General features: G+C 45.4%; 1 annotated feature.

Moving 5' to 3' along the window:
* Positions 15905–15954: an enhancer, noted in NCBI's record as "active region_15682". NCBI's record gives its function as "activates an Ori minimal core promoter by ATAC-STARR-seq in GM12878 lymphoblastoid cells {active_cell/tissue: GM12878}" and the evidence as "EXISTENCE:reporter gene assay evidence [ECO:0000049][PMID:35858748]".

Here is a 23088-nt window from a genome sequence, read left to right as displayed (position 1 = left end):
AGGGAAATGTAGAGTTGGAGTCCCCACACAAAGTCCCCACTGGGGCACTGCCTAATGGAGCTGTGAGAAAAGGTCCACCATCCTCCAGACCCCAGAATGGTAGATCTACCAACAGCTTGCACCATGCGCCTGGAAGAGCTGCAGACACTCAACACCAGCCTGTGAAAGCAGCCAGGAGCGGGGATGTAACCTGCAAAGCCACAGGGGTGGAACTGCCCAAGGCTGTGGGAGCCCACCTGTTGCATCAGCACGGCCTGGATGTGAGACATGGAGTCAAAGGAGATTATTTTGCACCTTTAAGGTTTAATGCCTGCCCTATGGATTTTGGACTTTCATGGGGCCAGTATCCCCTTTGTTTTGGCCAATTTCTCCCATTTGGAGTGGGTGTGTTTATCCAATGCCTGGACCCCCATTGTATCTAGGAAGTAACTAATTTGATTTTGATTTTACAGGCTCATAGGCAGGATGGACTTGCCTTGTCTCAGATGAGACTTTGGACTTGGACTTTTGGGTTAATGCTGGAATGAACTCAGACTTTTTTTTCTTTTTTTTTTTTTTATTTTGAGACAGAGTCCCACTCTGTCACCCAGGCTGGAGTGCAGTGGTGCAATCTCGGCTCACTGCAACCTCCACCTCCTGGATTCAAGCCATTCCCCTACCTCAGCCTCCCAAGTAGCTGAGATTACAGGCACCTGCCACCACACCTGACTAATTTTTGTATTTTTAGTAGAGACAGGTTTCACCATGTTGGCCAGGCTGGTCTCAAACTCCTGACCTCAGTTGATCCACCCACCTCTGCCTCCCAAAGTGCTGGGATTACAGGTGTGAGCCAATGTGCCCTGGAATGAGTTAAGAGTTTGTGGGACTGTTGGGAAGGCATGATTGTGTTTTGAAATATGAGGACAGGAAGTTTGGGAGGGGCCAGGGGCAGACTGATATGGTTTGGCTGTGTCCCTACTCAAATCTCATCTCAAATTGTAGTTCCCATAATCCCCATGTGTCGTGGGAGGGACCCGGTGGGAGGTAATTGAATCATGGGGGTGGTTACTTCCATGCTGTTCTTGTGATAGTGAATGAGTTCTCACGAGATCTGACGGTTTTATAAGCGTCTGGCATTTCCCCTACTTGCACTCATTCTCTCTCCTGCCGCCCTATGAAAAGGTGCCTTCCACCATGATTGTAAGTTTCTTGAGGCCTCCCCAGCCATGCAGAACTGTGAGTCAATTAAATTTCTTTCCTTTATAAATTACCCAGTCTTGGGTATTTCTTCATAGCAGCATGAGAACAGACTAATATACCTCCTCAAGTCCTGTCTCCTCCAGGAAACTTTCCAGAAGACAGCACCCAAAGCCCTGCTTGTCTCAGCCATCCATTTGTTGGGCCTCAATACTGCCATGTGGTGCCATGTGCATTTAAAGTGGAGATGTCTGAACTCCTGAACTGGACCACACACTCCTGGGTCTTAATTTGTCTTTGTACTTCTTAGTACCACTTACTGCACACTATGCCTGGTGCTCGGGAGGGGCCAGTGAGCATCTGAGGATGGCTAGTCAAAAGGGTGTCAAGTTCAGGAAGTGTTTATTTAGTGTCTACTCTGTGCTGTCTGCTGTGAGAGGCCCTGTGACACATGTCCCCTTGCTTTCAGTCTATTTAAACTGCTCCTGTGTGCTTGCTGGCTACTGCCTGGGCACAATGCACAAAGTTAAGGCTTCTGTGTTCTTACGAGGCAAAAATTAGTCCACTTGACTCTTAGGAAAAACGAAAACAAAGAACTCAGTCTCCTGAGTCTCAGCAGCAGCCAATTACTTAAAAAGTGCTGCTTGAAGAGGATTTCAGTCAAATTCCCCACTTTCGGAATGTCCATCCCACTGCCTGTCATTACACCATTATAGTCTCATTGTCTTGGGCAAAATGTTTTACTTCTCCTCTGTGGTCCTTTCTAAAATGCAGCACCTCCCCACCTTCCCAGTGAGTATTAGGCCTTATCAGCTGACAGTAACTGGGAATCAGGAAGAATGGGACACAGGACAATATTTATGGAATGGGGAGAACAGTCCAGTTCCTTACCTGGCTCACAATACCCGTCATGCTCTGGCCCTTGCCTGCCTTCCCAGCTTTATCTCTCATCACCCTTGCCATTGTAACACTAGAATCGTGCAACACCCAACATCTTTCATGCCCTTCCCCATTCCCTGCTCTCATTTGCTTTCTGACCTTTGCTTTAAACATGTTGCACCCACTCCTTTGACTGCCTAACTCCTATTCATTCTTCAGATTTCATTTCAGACATCAGTCCTCCAGGAACACTTCCCCACTCATCTCAGTCAGAGTTTGATGGCCCAGCCTCATATCCCCATAGTTCCTTGTACTTCCTTCATTGGAGCATATTATGCACTGTACTACATGTATTGCCTGTATCCTCCGGTTAACTGTGAGCCCCCAGGGCACAAGTTCCATGTCTGACTTTTGGCTATGACACTGCCCAGCATAATAGTCACTCAACAAATACAGCATGAATCAGTAAACAGGGCTTGAATGAACAGATGAATGTACTAGGGACAGAGTTTACCTCCTCCACATGTTGTGAAAGACTTGCCTTGCTTGAGACCCACACGGTTTTTCTAATTCCAGAAAAGTCAATTTTTAAATTTTATTTTTTATTTTTTTATTGAGGTGGGGTCTTACTCTGTCACCCAGGCTGGAGTGCAGTGACGCAATCTTGGCTCACTGCAACCTCTGCCTCCGGGATTCAAGTCATTCTCTTGCCTCAGCCTCCTGAGTAACTGGGATTACAGGTGCCTGCCACCATGCCTGACTAATTTTTTGTACTTTTCATAGATAGGTTTCACCATATTGGCCAGGTTGGTCTCAAGCTCCTGACCTCAAGTGATCCACCCACCTCGGCCTCCCAAGGTGCTGGGGTTACAGACATGAGGCACCATGCTCGGCCCCAGAAAAGCTCTTTTTAAGAAATGTAAGGTACTAGATATTACAAAGGACTCTGAGAATGTGAACAATTCCATGAGCCCATACCCAAGCCTCCATGTACAATTTAGAGCATGTGTCATTTTCTTCTGATGAAAGCCAATGTGCCAATGAGTCACTGTGTCTACCTCAAACAGTCTTGGTGTCACTATAGGCCACCAACACCCTACTGGCATGAATGGGGCTTCCAGGGTCCTGGGGGGAAATTACAAAGGTGAGTTTGGAACCAAGCATCAGATTTTGATTGTGTAAGGTCAGGGGACAAAGATTATCCTTTAATCCCTGAAACATGTGCTTGAGAGAGACCCACCTCTGGGCCGGGTGCCGTGGCTCACACCTATAATCTGAGAACTTTGGGAGGCCAAGGTGTGTGGATCACTTGAGCCCAGGAGTTTGAGACCAGTCTGGGCAACATGGTGAAACTTCATCTCTACAAAAGCACCTGTAATCCCAGTTACTCAGGAGGCTGAGATGGGAGAATCACTTAAGCCCAGAAAGTCGAGGGTTCAGTGAGCTGTGATGGCACCACTGCATTCCAGCCTGGGCAACAGGAGTGAGACCCTGTCTCAAAAAAAAAAAAACAAACAAAAAAACAAACCTCTGATGCAGTAGAGTAATAAAGTCCAGGTACTCTTCATTGGATAAACATGGACAGCACAGGTCATGCTATGCTTAATGGCTTCCAGAGAGCCATGGTTTAGGCCCCTAGAGAGAGGAAGAGAGAAACTTGAAAGAGCAGAGCTACTTTTAAACAGTCAGAAGAGATGTAATCACAAGAAGCCAAGTCTTCCAAGGTTGGCTATAAGGCTCACTCAAGGAACACTTCTTTTGTTTTGAAAGAATGGCCACAGCTAGCCATGACTGAGAACTTCCCGTGTACCCGCTACTGCTCTTAGTGCTTTACACACACTAGCCAAATAATCTTCACCCTGCCTAATAATGAGGTAGGTCCTATTGTTACCTCTATTTGACAGATGAGGACACTGAAGCACAGCTATGTTAGGTGAGTAACCCAAGATCATACTAGTAAATGGAGAAGAGATCTGAACCCACATGCCCTGGCTTCAGAGTCTACAGGCTTACTTAGCTGAGATCGTCCGCAGGAGCAGAGGGGACTGGTCATCGGGGGTTGGCTGGAATGATGATGCAGTGGAACTGGGGTGGGTTCGTGCTGCTACGTACCCTTCTATGCAGCACTCATTAAGCATTGTGCCATGTGTACAACACTAGGCCAGGTGTTGCGTGCAAGCAGGTAAGTAGAATCTAGTCCCTGGCCTTGAGAGGCTCTCAGTCTCAGGTGCAGACAGTCCTGTGGTAAGAGCAGTACGGGCTGAGGTGTGGGAGCCAAGACGGAGAAATCCCGCCCCCTGCCTGGGAGGATTTATGGAGACATGAAGCGTTCACCTGGGTCTGGAAGAGTGAGAGCTGTGGTATCTCTTAATCTCTGCTTCCTCCTTCTGTTCAGAAAATACTTGAAGGCCAAAGCAGGCAAAACAAATTTCAGGAGATCCAGGTAGAAATAGCAACCAGACTGATCCAGAACAGGAAAAACACCCTCTATATGAAACTCTTTGCCGAGATTGAGCAAGTCTGCTGAAGTCTCTGCTCTGTGCCCTGGCCTTCTCTGCTGTCTGCAAGGGCTGAAGGCAGAGAGTGGTAGTTCTCCATAGGGTTCTCAGTGATGCTGCCATTGTGCATGGAACCAGAACAAGAAGGCTGCTTCCTAGAGAAAGTTAGCAGTGTCTACAATCAGATAAGATCCATCACTCTGAAACCCTCCAAACACTGCAGATTGCATGGCAGCTGGTGGCTTCCTGCAACTGCAGCTTCAAGCTAGTGGTATGGGACCTGCATGATCTTATCATCATCCCAGGTCACCTTCAGACCTCCTTAGATTATTCTCGAGTTGAGGAGGGGGTGATAAAACCCCAGAGTCAAACATTCTGCTTCGAATGTCACCTTTGCCACCAGTACCACCTAGGGGACTATAAAAGAACTATTGTTTTAAATTATGGATTATCATTATTCACAAGTTTCAAAATCCAGACCAAAAAAAAAGAAAAAACCGTAAATATCTAACAAATGAAGATCTGTTAAATAAATTATAATGTGCCCATGCAAAGAGATATTTAGCAGCCATTTAAAATGACAGTGTATAAGGCTGGGCGCAGTGGCTCACACCTGTAATCTCAGCACTTTGGGAGGCCGAGGCAGATGGAACACTTGAGGTCAGAAGTTTCAGACCAGCCTGGGCAACATGGTGAAACCCCATTTCTACTACAAATACAAAAAATTAGCTGAGTGTGGTGGCAGGCACCTGTAATCCCAGCTACTTGGGAGGCCGAGGCAGGAGAATCGTTTGAAGCCGGAAGGTGGAGGTTGCAGTGAGCCAAGATGGCACCACTGCACTCTAGCCTGGGCAACAGAAGGAGACTCCATCTCAAAAATAAATAAACAAACAAACAAACAAACAAATAAAATAAACTGACAGTGTATGGTTCACCCCTATAATCCTAGCACTTTGAGAGGCCAAGGTAGGAGGATCGCTTGGGCCCAGGAGTTCAGGATCAGCCTGTTTCTACAAAAACTAAAAATTAAAAAAAAAGCTGGGCATGGTGGTGCATGCCTGTAGCTCAAGCTGCTCAGGAGGCTGAGCTGGGAGGATCGCTTGAGCCTGGGAAGTCAAGGCTGCGGCGAGCTGTGATGGGGCCACTGCACTTCAGGCTCGGCAGCAGAGCGAGACCCTGTCTTAAAATAATAAAATAAAATAAAATAAATATAATGTATATTTGTATTGATACGAAAAGATATTTGATGTATTAATAAGTGAAGAAAATAAGTTATAGCTTATAGATATATATGTACATGTGAATAGCTATATACACAGAAAACAAAGGAAGGTGGGAAAAAGCCTGGGAAGCTATCTGTCAGAATGTTAAATGTTGGTTATTGCCAGGTTATATCCTCATGGATAATTTTTTTTTTTTTGAGACAGAGTCTTGCTCTGTTGCCCAGGCTGGAGTGCAGTGGTGCAATCTCAGCTCACTGCAGCCTCCACCTCAGCCTCCCAAGTAGCTGGGATTACAGGCATCTGCCACCACGCCCAGCTAATTTTTATACTTTTGGTAGAGACGGGTTTTCACCATGTTGGCCAGGCTAGCCTTGAACTCCTAACCTCACATGATTCACCCACCTCAGCTTCCCAAAGTGCTGGGATTACAGGCACTCATGGATAATTTTTATTTTATATCTCCATTCTTAATGTGCATACAATTAATGAGTAATCATAAAAGGCCTGTCTCAATGAGCCTCTTGGATGATTTTTAAAGTGAATGGCCGGACCCTGGGGTTTCATCACTCCCTTCTTACTTTGAGAATAACCTGAGTGGCCCAAAGGTGATCTGTAATAGGTGGTAAGATCATGCCAGGTCACACATGGCTGGAAGTTGGTATGGCAGAAAGCTGCCAATTGCAGTAAAATCTGCTGTGCTTGGGAGGTTTTTTGTTGTTTTTGTTTTTGTTTTGAGACAAGGTCTTGCTCTGTCAGGCTGGAGTGCAGTGAGCAATCACAGCTCACTGCAGCCTCGGCCTCGTGGGCTCAATTCATCCTCCCACTCAGCCTCCCCAGTAGCTGGGTCCACAGGCATGCACCACTATGCCCGGCTAATTTTTGTATTTTTATAGAGATGGAGTTTTGTCATGTTGCCAATGCTGGTCTTGAACTCCTAGGCTCAAGCGATCTACCCACATCAGCCTCCCAGAGTTCTTGGCCAAGGAAGTTTTTTGGGTAACAAGGCATAATTCTGGCTGTAGACATTGCTAATTTTCTCCTTTCTGCCCTAGTTTCCAGAGTCAATGGTGACTCCATCAGGTGACTTTACCTGGGACCAACTCCTGTGTCCTCAGCTCTTTCAAACAGCAGTGCTGGTCTAGGTCAGCTCAGATAACTCCCCACCAAGCACCGGTTTTATTTACTCTCCTTCTGCAGCCAAGTCCCAACTCAATCAGGAGTGAGCCTCAGCTGAGAGCAGATCACTTTACTCACTATTATATCTGCATTTACCTCTTGCCCAAGAGTCCGGCTCACTTTCCCATGGTAAATTATTTATATTCAAAAGCTCAGAAAAAATCCTTGATCTTCCCCCAATTCCTCCAGAGTCTTGCCTCCAGCATTTTAACTCTCTCCCTCTGTTGTCTTGCTGGATATCTTCCTTAGCTCTGGGGTCTTCCCCCTACTTTTTAGGCCTGGCGTTTGGGGGAAGTGGGGAACTGAGTAAACGATACCAGTTCCTGAAGATCCAGACCCTCATCCTATTTAGCAAGATCAGGGCTCCTCTCTCTGGACAGGATTGGAGTGTCCTCTGTAGTCATGCTGTACTGCTCCAGCAAGAGGATACGGGAGCTCTTTCCCACTCAGTCCTTTTCTAGTACTTCATTCCAGCATGCACACCCACGCACGCATATACATAAAGGAATTCAACACATCTGGAAATGACATGCGCACAGTCATGCATGCATTCATGCGCCATATACACACTCTAACACATATGTAGACACACACCGACATGAGCTCTCTGAGGCACCCATACATATAAATATATAGACATAGGCATCATATACATATAAGTATATAGACACAGTATATAAATGTATAACACACAGGCATTATACAGACATTCAAACATTGTTATCAACGTAAGATACGCAAAGACATAGCTGTACATTCTATCATACACAGACGTCAATCTTCGTATTTAATCACACAGACATAAGCATACACGAGTCTACTTAGTACAGGCAAAGAAGACAGTGACAAGTGATCTGTCCCCAGCAGAGACCACTACTACCCACCCTGACACTGGGATTGCTTTGTTTCCTAGGAAGTTTTTGCAGGAAGTTGTCTGTGCCTTTGACAAAGAGTTCATCTCTCCTCTGTCTCCCGCTCCCTGGGCAGCTTCCTCCTCCCTGTTCCCCCTGTGGCCCCATTCTTTCATCCATAGCTGTGCCTGGCCAAGAAGAATGCTAATCACCATGACAGGAACTGTTTCCACCTGTTTACATCCCTGCTTGCCTCCCCCTGATGCCATTTTAGACTCTGCCAAGCAGCCGAGGAGGCCTGCTGTGCGGGCCAGCTTGAGAGAGGGAAAGGAATGAGCGAGAGGACAGTTGGAGTGTGAAAAGGACCCATCGCTAAGTGACTCCCCATTCCAACAGCCACACACAAGATGCACATAATTGCTTTTAGCACAGTGGGATGGATAGAGATACAAAAGGTCAAATCAAGGATTTGTCCCATAATATCTTTGCTAAGCAGCAGCGTCAGACATTGGAAAAGCATATTCATGAATTGAGTTGCTGAAGTATGGGGCAGGCTTTTCAGAGGCTGCTGTGTGTTCCCTCTTTGAGGTGTGCCTGCCGTGGTGATTGGATTCATATGGAGCAAGTGACTTCTCAATGCTCAACAAAGCTCTGCCTGTGAATTGGACTAAATAGACTACTTGGCAGGCAGCTGAGATAACTATGCTAAGTGAATTTCATAGTTGCTCCCACTCCCCTTAAGCTGAAGCCTACTGGAAAATGCAGGATCAAGGCCAAACTCCTGAGACAGGCATTCAAGGGCCTCCACCATCTGACCCAAATCTATCTTGCTAGGCATTTCCCAACACGAAGGTCAGATGTCCACCCCAGTGGGCACTGTGCTGGTCTCTGAGCACTTTGGGCGGCTGAGGTAGGCCTGGCCAACATGGTGAAACCACATCTCTACTGAAAATACAAAAATTAGCTAGGCGTGATGGCGCACGCCTATAATCCCAGCTGCTTAGGAGGCTGAGGCAGGAGAATCGCTTGAACCTGGGAGGCGGAGGTGGTAATGAGCCAAGATGGTACCACTGCACTCCAGCCTGGGTGACACAGTGAGACTCCCTCTCAAAAAAAAAAAAAAAAAAAAAAAAAAAAAAAAAAACAGGAAAAGGAAGAGAGGGACTAAGAACTATCACATTCCATTATACATTCCATTACATGGTGACCATTGGTGACCTTAGGCAGCATGGTTTTTGTGAAGTCGTAGAGGCAAAAGCTTGCATTGAAGTGGTTTCAATAGGAATGGTGAACTTTTAAGAAACTTTGCAATACAGGGAAACAGATCAATGAGATAAAGTAGTAGGATTAAAAAAGGATTTTTTTAAAATGGGGTGTAAAAACTGTCTTCAAAACACATTTGCTCACAATATGTCAAGATTGTACCAAAATTAAGTCTACTCTAGAGCTTTCAGTGGTTGAAGGAATCTCCACCCCAAGTTTCTGTGAAAACCAGGCCAGCTTATGCCTTATTTTAATCCCAGTCTTGTGACTTTGTCCACATCAAACTTTCTCCTTCCCCAACATTCTGGCCAATTTATCATTCTTCCTTCCAGATTTCTCTTATTAACCTATGAAGGAAGGTGGACGTTTTTTCAGGAGAACTGTATATTCTCTAGGAAACAGAACTGGCAAATCAGTTCTTCCTGCAAGTTAAAAAGATATAACAAGTAATTTTTCGAAATTTATTGTTCTCCATAGGAAAAAAATACCCAGCATATGAACTGCAGAGATGCATTTTCAGTTTTCAGAAAATACTCTGTGTGTCGGGCACGTAATTTCATTAGCCTATTGTGTGGGGTGAGCTATTGCAAGGGATCTGTCATGTCTCCATCATTTCCAACCCCCATTGGGGTTTAATCACATTCAGGGCTATTTGCAACTATGGTTTCCCATTTCAAATCACATTAGGCCAAAATTAGGCCTATAACTTATACTTTGGGGTCCAAGTCTGCAACATTTTCCATCCGCATATCATTCTGGTTAAGTTGCTTCTGAGTGTTGTAAATAAAAAATAAAATAGAAATATCAAGAGTTAGAACTTGAGGCCGGGGGTGGTGGCTCACGCCTGTAATCCCAGCACTTTGGGAGGCTGAGGCGGGTGGATCACTTGAGGTCAGGAGTTCAAGACCAGCCTGGCCAACATGGCGAAAACCTGTCTCTACTAAAAATACAAAAATTAGCCGGGCGTGGTGGTGCGTGCCTGTATTCCCAGCTACTCGGGAGGCTGAAGCATGAGAATTGCTTAAGCCTGGGAGGCAGAGGTAAGCCGAGATTGTGCTACTGCACTCCAGCCTGGGCGACAGAGTGAGGCTCCATCTCAAAAAAATAAAAAAGTTAGAACTCGAGAACAACTGACATTGTGATTTTCCTGAAGGTCTTCTCCAGTGGGAAAATAACTGGAAGGGCCACTCCTCTTTCATCAGAGGTGTGGGTGGAATCTTGTTAATCTCATCCCAATGTCTGTGAAAAGGCTAGTTGTCCCCCTCAAGGCAATGAGTCTTTTTGAATGGCAATTTGGGACTGGCTATTGGCTTTTACATAGTCCCTGCCAGTTAGAGTTGCACAGGTTGTAAATAATGCCTCCTGGAGTGGTGCAGTGCACAACCTACACAACTACATGCTGCAGCCAGGCTTCAAGGCAAAAGAGAACGTACGTAAAACGACGGTGCAAGTACTTTGTGTTTCTTCCCCTACGGTGGCCTTGCCTTTACTGCCACTGAGTCCCTCTCCACTCTCCTCCACTGAAAAGGGCTGAGGGCACTCAACGTGCAACCTCCATCAACCCATTCAAAAATATTGTGTGCGTGATATCGACTGCTGCATTTGCAACCGTGATGCACAAAGGAAACCCCAATCCAACCTTCAGATCTATGTGCCCAGCAAAATGGCTCCCATGTCCCTGAACAGAGAGCACTGGAACGTCATTGTACTCAGAGCACTCACATACTGCACACCTCCAGCTGAGACTGAACTGCACCACCAGCTCCCGCTGCTTCAGCAGTACCACAGCACTCATGGATTCTGGAGCCCCTCTTTCTCCACTCCTCTCCTGCTCTGCCATCTTCTTATCTGCCCTCTGCACAGAATGCTGGTTCCACCATGGAAAGACTGCAGTTCCTTGAGGTCTCTGAGGTGGCTCTGGGTCCCTCAGAGGGAATCATCTACAAGGTCACAGCCTTTCTCTTGTGAATTTCAGTTACATCTTACCAAAGACCCTTTCCTTTCCAGAGAGGAGTGAGGAGGAAAGAAAATCTCATTCTATCACACTCTAACCTGGAAAGTTCTTTACACTTGATCCGAATCTGACTTCTAGTTTTGCCACGGCTCTCCTACATTCAACCTTCACCTGCTATAGCTCATCATCATGGTTCTCTTCAGTATTTTCTTCTACAGGCTGGATTTCCGTAGTTTCTCTTCTGTGCTCTCGTATGACCTAGTTTCTGAACTCCTCACCACCATAGTCAAGCCACCCCTCATCTACCACGTTGATGTCCCTTATAAAACCCAAGGCCAGAGGTGAACATTCACCCAGATGCAGTTACATGGGAGCAGATTCCATCTATTTTCTTGGCATGTTACAATTTTATTTGGCATAAAGTAGTTATGGGGATTATAATGTGCTTCAAGAACTGGCCTTTTGAAAATAGACTGGATTTAAGCTATTGCTCTATGGGACATGGTGTTAGGTTTTTGTTGTCATTGTTGTTTGTTTTGGGACAGGGTCTCACTCCATCACCCAGGCTGGAGTGCAGTGGCACGATCATGGCTCACTGCAGTCTGGCCCTCCCTGGCTTAGTTGATTCTCCCACCTCAGCCTTCCAAGTAGCTGGAACTACAGGCAAGCACCACCACACCTGGCTAATTTTTTGTACTTTTTTTTTAGAAATGGGGTTTCGCCATGTTGCCAGGCTGGTCTCAAACTCCTAGGCTCAAGCAATCCTCCCACCTTGGCTTCCCAAAGTGCTGGGATTACAAGTGTGAGCCACAGTGCCTGGCCTCTATGGGACATGTTTTTAAATGAACTACATGGCTTTGATATATTTGGGAAAACCTATTGGACAATATGATCGGTCCTGTGTGACCTTCAGTAGGTCCTTTCCCCATTGTGGGTCTCAACAACTGATATGGTTCGGCTACATCCCCACCCAAGTCTCATCTTGAATTGTAGCTCCCATAATTCCCACGTGTTGTGGGAGGGACTCACTGGGAGATAATAGAATCATGGGGCTGGTTTCCCCCATACTGTTCTCATGGTAGTAAACAAGTCTCACAAGATCTGATGATCTTATAAGGAATTTTCCCCTTTTGTTTGGCTCTCATTATCTCTTGTCTGCCGCCATATAAGATGTGCCTTTCACCTTCCACCATGACTGTGAGGCCTCCCCACCCACGTGGAGCTGTGAGTACATTAAACTTCTTTTTCTCTATAAATTACCCAGTCTTGGGTATGTCTTTCTCAGCAGCATGAAAACGGACTAATGCAACAACTTTATGAAGAAAGTGGGGGAGTTATTTTGATGATCTCTAAGCTTTTCGAGATTTGTTCTTTTTCCTTAGGGACCCAAGTATTACTAAAACTAAAGTGCAACCTCCCAACTCTGCTACCCGTGCACACATGGTTGGAGCTGCAAGACCAGGTTTTCCTCCATCCCTTTCCCTGAGTGAGGAATATGGTGAGAAGGAGGGAAAGGGCATTGGGGGTGGGAGCGTGGTCACTTCTCTAAATCCAGGACCAAGAGACCAAGGGCACTGAGAGGCAGAGCCAAGGCCCATTCTTTGTTTCCTCATCTGAGCCAGGCTAAGTTGGTGGAAATTGGGGGCAGAGGAGAGAGGATGGACAAAGGGGACATCTGAATTTTATCCCCCTTTCCCTGATTTCCTTCTTGCAGGTCTGTGCCAGGCGGGAGACAGTCTGTGGATGATGGTCTCACCTCTACATGTGCTCCTGTTGGGGAATTTCTCTCTTTTTCCCAATGATATCTTACTGTGACATTTACGGGAGGAGAGAAATGGTCTCTGGAAGCATAAGGAAAGGGAGGGTCTGACTGTGCCCCAGAAATGTCCTGTGGCTACGTGTCCAGGAGAGCAGGTTCTCAGTTTTAGCTTTCTCCATCCATCCTCCCCCTTCACTCTCAGTGTGCTCCAGAAGTTCCACCTTAGGCCAGGTACGGTGGCTCATGCCTGTAATCCCAGCACTTTGGGAGGCCGAGGTGGGTAGATTAACTGAGGTCAGGAATTCAAGACCAGCCTGACCAACATGGTGAAACTCTGTCTCTACTAAAAAAAAATACAAAAATTAGCTGGGCATGGTGGTGGGTGCCTGTAATCCCAGATACTTGGGAGGCTGAGGCAGGAGAATCGCTTGAATCCGGGAGGCGGAGGTTGCAGTGAGCTGAGATTGCACCTTTACACTCCAGTCTGGGCAACAGAGTGAGACTCTGTCTCAAAAAAAAAAAAAAAAAAGAATTTCCACTTTAAAGAGAGTCAATTACTTTTAGTCAGTTCTCAAAAGACCAAATCCTACCACTTAAATGTGACCCAGGTAGGAGAGAGACATTGCCTTGATTTTCACAGCTTTCCCCTGGCTCATCTCTGACCCCAAGGTGCTCTGTGTTCACTGGGCTGATTTTGCTTCAAAGTTTCAGCTTCTCTTTGTCGTTTCCTCAGCCAGCCCTGTGCCCTCCCTCTTTTCGTCCCATCTCCTCAGTCCCCCCGTTGTGTAGCCTTTACACAGTCTTCTCTGGTCTAATCTAATCTCCAACAAGCTGCCTCTTTTGCTCCTTTCTCTCTCCACAAACCTAATATATCTTGATGTGTCAACCTTTGGGCCACTGAGGCTGTGCTGACCTCTTCGGGGAGCTTGGCTTTTGTCCTACTAGGTAACCCCCTCTCCTGGGAGCTGTACCAACCTATTTTTCATCACATTTGAGCCTGGTTTTCTAAAAAAAAAAAAAAACCTAGACAGGCAGGCAGCCCACGCTGACTAAAGCTATGAACATCTCTCCTTTCTTAAGGGGTCTTTCTCCCTCCTCTCTGCCTGTCTGGCAAGAGCCAGCAGCCAGAGGTGGGGGTGGAAACCTCAGTTACCATCACATCAGCTGGATAATAGTTCTATAGATGCTGGACATGCCGACAAAGGGGCAAAGTATTCTGTATCATAGCATTTTTATTATATTCTATTATAATCATGTATCTTTCTATCATAATCAGGTATCATGCATAATCATGTAGCTGTCATATTTGTCTTAGTTTGCTAGGACTGCCCTAACAACATACTACAGTCTTGGGGGAGGGGGAATGCTTAAGCAACAGATACTTATTTGCTCACAGTTCTGGAGGCTGGAAGTCCAACGTTGAGGTGTCAGCAGGTTTGGTTTCTTCCGAGACCTCCACTCGTGGCTTGCAAATGTTGACCCGATTGCTGTCTCCTCACTTGGTCTTTCCTCTGTGTGTGATTCTGTGGTATCTTTTAGTCCAAATTTCCTCTTACAAGGACATCAGTCAGACTGGATTAGGCCACCTTCTAATGGCCCCACTTTAACTAAAGGCCCTGTCTCCAAATACCATCACATTCTGAGATACTGGGAGTACCTCAAATTTCCCAGTAGAAAATTTATAGGGGACAGAGTTCAGCCCATAACAATATTATTCCCCAATTCCATCATCGACTTACACTGAAGTCAGAGCAAAAAAGATCAGTCTCAAATTGCAGTGTGTGGGATTTCAGCTAGATGTAAGAAAGGTTCAGGCACTCCCAAATGGAGACCCTGGGAGTGGGATCTCAAATGGGAGAGGGGAAGGAGGGTAAAGATGAAAGCAGGCATCCTAGAAAACATAATACATTTCCAATTAGTTGATACCCTTTCTAAAAGGAGGAGGCTAAGCCAGATGATTTCTGGATCCCAACATTAATTTATTCAATCAATCACTCATTTAGCAGACATTCACTGAGCCTCACCACGCAGCAGGCACAGGAATCCAGAAGCAAGTCCTTGAAGGTTCTTGCCCTTTAGAGAACTTGTACTTATTGGTAAACCCTGGGTAGGATGGGAGGAGGGCAGGGGCAGCCAAAAGAAGAAGGGTGAAGAATGCTCTGAGGCGTGAACATTAATGAAAACACAGACCCCAAGCCCAGTGGTCAGCCCAGGCTTGTACATTTCTTTCCTGGCACTTAGCAGTGTTTCCTGGCACTCAGCAGTGCCCACACCCAGAGTAGAACCCTCTGTTTTTTTTTTTTTTGTTTTTTTTGTTTTTTTTTTTTGAGACAGTCTCGCTCTGTCATCCAGGCTGGAGTGCAGTGGCATGATCTTGGCTCACTGCAACCTCCGCCTCCCAGGTTCAAGTGATTCTCCTGCCTCAGCCTCCCGAGTAGCTGGGACTACAGGTGCGCACCACTACACCCCGCTATTTTTTTTTCTATTTTTTTTTTTTGGTATTTTTACTAGAGACAGGGTTACGCCATGTTGGCCAGGCTGGTCTAGAACTCCTGACCTCAGGTGATCTGCCCGCCTCGGCCTCCCAGAGTGCTGGGATTACAGGCATGAGCCACCACACCCCACCAGACCCTCTATTTGATAATAGGTTGCATAAAGCGTAACCTCAAGTTTCAGACATCCTGAAAGACCTCGAACCTTGGGCCAGCCCAAGAAAGCTGGAGACATTTCTCACCCCCATACGGGGACAGGCAGGTGGGAGGAGGGTGTGGCTGGCAGCCCAGTGGAGTCACCATAGCCACAAACCATGAGGTTTGGGATCAAGTGGGCCCTAACCCTGATCCCACTGCAGCTGCAGGAGACAGGCAGGCGTTCCCTGTTCTCACATCAGACACTTCTGGGGCCTTCCACTGAGGATCGGTCACACCCTCCCTGGGGAGCCCACTGGAGGCCCCTGGGAACTGCTCAGGAGTGTGTGGCTACTGCCAGCAGAGGCCGGGCTGCCAGGGCTGGCTGCTTCCCTCTAGAAGGAGCCGGAAGCTTCCATCTAGAAGGTGAGCCTGCCATCTAGCGTCCCAGTCTGGGCCGCGCAGGGACAAAGGAGCTTTCCCTGCACTGTCGTGTTGGTCACATTCAGCCCCACGGCATATTTAACTGCTGCCCACCTTCTCCCCACCATCGTGAGGTGAGAGCAAACCACCCTCGTTTCAGGGTGAATTTGATTTTTAGAAACAGCTGAAAGTCGTTCTAAGCCAAATGGTTATTGGTGGGAATTCAAAGAGTTTCCCCTGTGGCTTACAACTGTCTAAAGGCAGGTGACTATTTTCAAGTATTTATATATATATATATATATATATATATATATATATATATATATTACATATAATAATATCTATTATATTATATATTAATTATTAACTCTAATATATATATTAGAGTTTCGGGAGCAATTAAAAGTCTCATTGTTTTCATGCCAACAGTGTATACCATGGAACTCAATGTTTTCATACAGAACTTAAAGTACATCTTCCTCTTAGAAATGAGTGTAAGTGCTATCTTTTCCATGCAGACCTAACTTCTACAGGAGAGGAAGAATGGTCTGATTTATTCGGCTGCTGAGGGGAGAGTTATCCACACTGAGCCGGGGATGGAGCCTGGGATAGAGTTAATAATCGAGATATATATAAATAAAATATATCCTGGACCTTCGGAGTTAAGCATTTAATCCAGCAATTGGGCCCTGCCTTTGGGACTGTTTGTCCCAGGGCTTTTTGGGGAAGACTTAGATCTAGGAAAGGGCTAATGGAGGGACATGGAACAGGAGATCAGCTCTGTCCCTGCTCCTCAAAGAAGGGCAACTGCAGGAGGTATGCAGCCCAGTGCCCAAGCCAAGGGTGGCAAAGGACGTGGAGCTCATCTGAGGATACAGGGAAAAGCACCAGAAAGTCAAAGCCACAGTCCCAGATATTTGTTTCTGGTGTGAGTGGCTGAATGCTGCTGCTTCCCTGGAGAAGAGCAGAAATCCAGGGCCCCAGAATGAGCCTGACCGGGGTAGGGTAAGGGGGTGGACAAAGGGAGCCCTCCCCAAACTAATGATGATCTCTGGAGATCAGGCCTCAGTTCCTGAGCAGCCTTGAGTTCCCTGTGTCCTGGGAAGGCCTTGCTGCTACTCCTAGAGCCCCTTTTTTCCTGGAGCAAAGGGTAGACCCCTCTACTAGGATCCTTGCTGACTTCCACCTTATCTGAGCACAAAGAGTTGCCTTCGGTTAGAGACTAGGATTTAGGTGTGGCCACTTTGGGGAGGGTGGATTAATCTTTTTAACATGGAAAGAGGCCAAGAAAACAGGGCCCTCATTTGGCCTTGAGAGCCTGGCAACTCCACTATTCCCTTTGATTAGCAAAATTCTAGAGCTCGAAGAATACCAGATAATATATGCAGAAGGAAGAAAAAAAATTTTTTTTTTTTGAGGCAGAGTCTCACTCTGTCGCCAGGCTGGAGTGCAGTGGCACGATCTTGGCTCACTGCAACCTCTGCCTCCTGAGTTCAAGTGATTCTCCTGCCTCAGCCTCCCGAGTAGCTGGGACTATAGGCGCGTGCCAACACACCCAGCTAATTTTTGTATTTTTAGTAGAGATGGGATTTCACCATGTTGGCCAGGATGGTCTCGATCTCTTGACCTCGTGATCCGCCTGCCTCAGCCTCCCAAAGTGCTGGATTTACAGGCATGAGCCACCGTGCCTGGCCTGAAAAAAATTTTTTTAAATCACTAAGACTTGAAATGACATAATGGACTTAGGTCACAATCAACAAATGCTAAAATCATCAGGTGAAAGGTTAATGGAGAACTTTATGGGATGATGCTACCTAAACCCATTGATCAATCCTATTAGTATTAAAAGTGAAAAAAAAGATATTAATATTATATGTCTCACAGTAATGCCACCCTAGAAAGTATAGGTGCCTAAAAACATTGACCTTGAATCTAATCAAGGCCCAGATATAACTATCAGTTTACAGAAAATATGGAGGATGGAAGAATATGTTAACCACTCCACAGTGAAGCAGACAGATACGGAACTTAAGACATTATACAGAACAAATTACCTGATTCCCTGTCAAATCAGTGACAAGGGTGAACTGCTTCAGAATAAAAGAAACGAAAAAGACACAACCATATGCAATATGTGGAGTTTTAAAAAACAACTGAAAAAAGATGTCTTTGAGATAATCAGGTAATTTGAATATGGATTGAGTTTAGATGATATTGAGGAATTGTTCTTTTTTTTAAGTAAACAATGACATTGTGAAATGTATTAAAAAGTCTTATCAATTACAGATTAAAACTTAAGTGTTCCAAACGAAATGTCAAACTACCTAATATTTGCTTTAATATACACTAGAAGGAAAAAAGAGTTGGGGGAGAGGAAGCAAGATTGGCCAAATGTTGATAATGATTGAGGCTGGGTGATGGATACATGGAGATTCTTTTTATTCTGATTTTTTGAGTATATTTAGAAATTTCCATAACACACACACACACACACACACACACACACACACACACACACACTCTTCATGGTGCCCTTGACCCTCATGCAGATCATGGTTATTTCATATTATGTAAAATTCAGCCTCAGTCTGGTGTCTGAGAATAGGAAGACTTATAGAGAAGAGGCAAGAAATATCTTTGGGGAAGTTTGGGAGATTCCTTCCTTCAAACACTTTAGATTTGAAAAGACAACTGCGAGAACAGAGAAACGAAGGCACGTGTCGCACTGACACACCCACAGAGGCACATGCAAAATCACACACACATAACCTGACCCTCACACAGACCCTAGCACACCCACCAGGACCTGTGAGAGTGTCCAAATGCCCACAGGGCATGAGAACACATTCTCTTCCCAGCCGGTGCTGAAATATAAATCCAAATAAAATCAAATGAGGGCCTGGCGTGATGGCTCACACCTGTAATTCCACTTTGGCAGGAATGCCACTCCACTTTGGGAGGCTGAGGTGGGCGGACCACTTGAGGTCAGGAGTTCGAGACCAGCCTGGGCAACCCTGTCTCTACTAGATATACAAAAGTTAGCCGGGCATGGTGGTAGGTGCCTGTAATCCCCACTACTTGGGAGGCTGAGGCAGGAGAATCACTTGAACCTGGGAGGCAGAGGTTGCAGTGAGCTGAGATCGCACCACTGCACTCCAGCCTGGGTGACAGAGGGAGACTCTGTCTCAAAAACAAACAAACAAATAAATAAACAAATGAATTCAGTAGCACTGAATATTAACGCATGGCTATATAGAGGAAATGAAATGAAAACAAAACGCTCAAAAATCATCCTAGGATTCCTGGAACATCTGTATTTACTTGAGGATAAAGTTTAAGGTTATCTCAAAAAAAAGCATCAAAAGAAAAAAAGATGATAGTATTTGGCTTTCTTGTCCTTCATTCATCTCACACCTCACATTTCTCCTAGGAGTGCTCATCTAAACTAAGCCTCACTCAGTGCCTACATACTAAATCACCCCCAATTCTTTCTCTCTAGCTCACGCCCTCTCCTAAGCTGTAGACTGGTGTATCCAACTGCCTACTGGACATTTCTTCTTGGATGTTTTATCGTAGTTAGGGTACAGGCTAAGCTTATTTCTAAAATTCAGAGATAGGCGGCCCAGGGCAAGTTAGATGACACTGCTGTCCTCAACTTGTGCTTCTCCTCTCTAGGCCCAAGGTGGCTGCGTTAGTTCTGATTTATCTTTCAACCAGTGGAAAGGAAAAAAGGGTCAAGGGAGCTTGTGCCTACTTCTTCTAAGGGCAAAGCATACATTGCTTTTTCTTACATCCCATTGGCCAGAGTTTGGTCACATGGCCACACTTACTGTAAGGGACGCTGGGAAGTAAAGTCTTTAGCTGACTGGCCATGTGCAGTTAAAACCATTGTTATAGAAAAAGGGCAGGAAGGTATTGAGGGATAATGGGATGTCTACTATATCCCTCAGATATCACAAACTGAATATAAATAAAAGTAAAATGATCTTTTTGGCCCCCTCTCCCACAACTGTGCCTTTTGCCATCCCCAGATTGAAAAATGACCCACCATTTACCAGTCACCAAAGTAGGGTTGCCAGAGTAAATACAGGATTCCTAGTTAAATTCAAATTTCAGATAAACAAGGAATAATGTCATAGTATCGTTACGTCCCAAATATTGCATGTATTTTCATGTGCTAAATCTAGCAATCCTAGAGGCAAGCCAGGGACCTTGGAGCCATCTGGATTCCTCCTTCTTGTCCCCTTTTCAATTGCCTTCCAAGTTCTACTGACTCTTTTCTGTAATATTTCTCAATTTGTCCCCTCCCCTCCATCACTGGTTCAGGCCATCATCCTTTCTCTCAGACTCCTGGAGCTGCCTCCTGCCTGGCCTTCCCGTTTCCAGCCTTGCCTCTTTAACAAAATGCTTCACAAAGCAGGTAAATGGGCCTTCCTAACAGGCAAATCTGACCATGTCACTCCCCTGCTTTACCTCCTTCCATTGCTCCGCATGGCTTTCAGAATAAACCTCAAATGTATTAGCCAGGTTGCTAAAACCTTTGATCATTTGACGTCTCTCTGTCTCCCATTCTAGCCCCATCTCCCTGAAGCTGTATTCCATTCCCATCACCTATGCCCCTGCCATGTCAAGCCTCTGAGAGTCCTGTGAGGGCACCATATTCTATCTTTTTTATTTTTTTTTTTTTATTTTTAGAAACAGGGTCTCACTATGTTCCCCAGGCTGGCCTTGAACTCCTGGGCTCAAATGATCCTCCTGCCTCAGCCTCCTGAGTAGCTGGGATTATAGCCGTAAGCCATCACACCTGGCTTCTATCCCTTTTGATATTATGTCTTTTCTATACAGTAAGGGCTTCTCATTCCTATCGCCATCCCCACACCCACCCTACCCTTCTCCTTTGCTCGGCAAAATCCTACCCATTCTGAAAAACCCAGCTTAGATGTCACCTCCTCAGGTGGCTCATGCCTGTAATCCCAGCACTTTGGGAGGCTAAGGAAGGCGGATCACTTGAGGTCAGGAGTTCGAGACCAGTCTGGCCTACATGGTGAAACCCCGTCTCTACTAAAAATACGAAAATTAGCTGGGCATGGTGGTGTGTGCCTGTAATCTCAGCTACTCAGGAGGCTGAGGCAGGAGAATTACCTGAACCCAGGAGGCGGAGGTTGCAGTGAGCCAAGATTGTGCCACTATACTCCAGCCTGGGAGAGAGAGACTCCATCTCAAAAAAAAAAAAAAAAAAAAAAAAAAAAAAACACAAAAACATAAAAGATGTCATCTCCTCCAAGAGGCCTTCCTAACTTACCAACTTGAGCACATAATTTTGTTCCCACAGCCATTGACGCTTTATTGTTAAATTGACTTACCTGCATGTTTTCCCCAACTACATTTTAAGTTCTTTCAGGGCAAGGACTATGTCTTATTTATCTTGATACACTCAGCAACTGATACAGTAATCTGCACTAGTAAACAATTAATAAATGTTTATTGGGTGAATGATGGTTCTTTAGCTTAAAATGTTCATACGCTCGAGCTGAACGTTGCTGACCCAGCATGTCTTCATCTGGGGCTTCTCTCCCTTTCCAGATGTGGACCTTTCTGCACGAGTCTTAAGCCTGCTGTATCTTTATCCCCCTTGAAATTCTGGGCTTTGATTTCCATGGCTCAATCATGATTAAAAAAAAAAAAAAAAGCTTCTTGTCCACTCTATTACGCTCACACATAATGGATGTTGAAATAAAGAAATGACACCTTACCAAAAAAGGCCCTAGCCTGTCCCCCTCCCAAGCTGAGTTTCAGATCATGATTCCAGCTGACATGGGGCAGCTGTTAGATGAGAGTTTTTCGCCTGCCCTCCCAACTCCCGTGGCTTGCCCCCAGCCCTCCTTCACCCCCTGGGGAATGACGTCTCTTTTTTTTGTTTTGGGCCACAGTGGTATTTAGCAGGAGCAGGCAGCCATGCCTTGTTTGAGCTGTGATCTAACACCAGCTGACAGGTGGGTTTCGGGGGTGTCTCTGGGGCTGTGGCCTGTTTAGTGGATTTACCACTCTAAACTCAATTACAGGAGACTTTCATGCTCCACAGGCAACTCCGGTCCCTTTTTGATAAAAACTCCAGTGAGTAAATAAGTCATGATGGTGATAGGGGCCTGCCATTTAATATTCATTGAAGTACACATGTTTGGAAATTGGAAGCAGAGTTTAATCCATTTTCATATTTATATCAACATACAGCTTTAAAAAGGATCTCTCTTTTTCTCCAGCAATCTCATCAATTTCTCATTTGGAAAGATAAAGGTAAAATGGGCACATATATTATTTTTTTAAAATTAGAAAGATCTGAAGTTTTAATTATTAAAGTGTGAGTTTTAGATCTGTTGATTTTCAATGAAGCACTAATTCCCTCATTTTATCTGAACTAGGAGAAGTAGGTAACAAGTAAATCAAAGTCACTGCTGTTTCTTGCAGCTGCATTTTTGTGTTTCATTTTGTAACAGGAGCTCAGCAAAAAGGAGAAATCAAAGATGATGGGGACCTCACCTCCAAGATCTCAGAATTTCGGGGAATGTTTCATAGCCATCCAAAGTAATGCAAAAGCACTCCCTTTGAATAAAGGTAACATTCACAATATTACAAATGTTCATGCTCACTAGTAAAAGTTCCAGGACTGTTCATTGACGGAGGCAGGAACCCTGGAGGGAAAGAGTTAACACAGTGAAGGGTTTGGGGCATTGTTTTGTTGTCTCTCCCCAACTCTCTACTTTTTTTTTTAATGTGGATGAATGTTTAAGTATGGTCCTGTGGTTGAAGGCATCTCTTTTAATAATGCAACACACAGCTTCCTGAGGGGACAGCAGTTGATTTGGAAGTGGAATATGGTGCACTCTAAATTCCTGTCCCTGCGGAAGGCTGACTAACTGATAAGTGCCATGAGCTAGCATGGGGACTCATTCTGTCAAATCAACTTGCTGGAAAGGCCCCATGCGGAATCTTCTCCAGTCTCCAGGAGCTAATGTGAGCAGACACTTGTGACATTAGACAGTACAGCAGGCCTGGCATGAAGAAAAAGTTCACCATCCACAGACAAGGTGGTCTTTTAGATGACAAGGATAAAGAAACCAGTGCAAATTTGTTAATGTAACAACTTGGAAAAGTATGCTTAAAAATAAAAGCCACTCTGTGGGGAGAAAGGATCAAAAGAAAAAGGCAACAATAGTACTTGAAAACTTTCTTGGGGTGTTCTGTCCCTTTTGGAGGTCTGT

Source organism: Homo sapiens, chromosome 2, assembly GCF_000001405.40.
Source record: "Homo sapiens chromosome 2, GRCh38.p14 Primary Assembly".
Lineage (NCBI taxonomy): Eukaryota > Metazoa > Chordata > Mammalia > Primates > Hominidae > Homo > Homo sapiens.
This window is presented reverse-complemented; position numbering and strand designations above follow the sequence as displayed.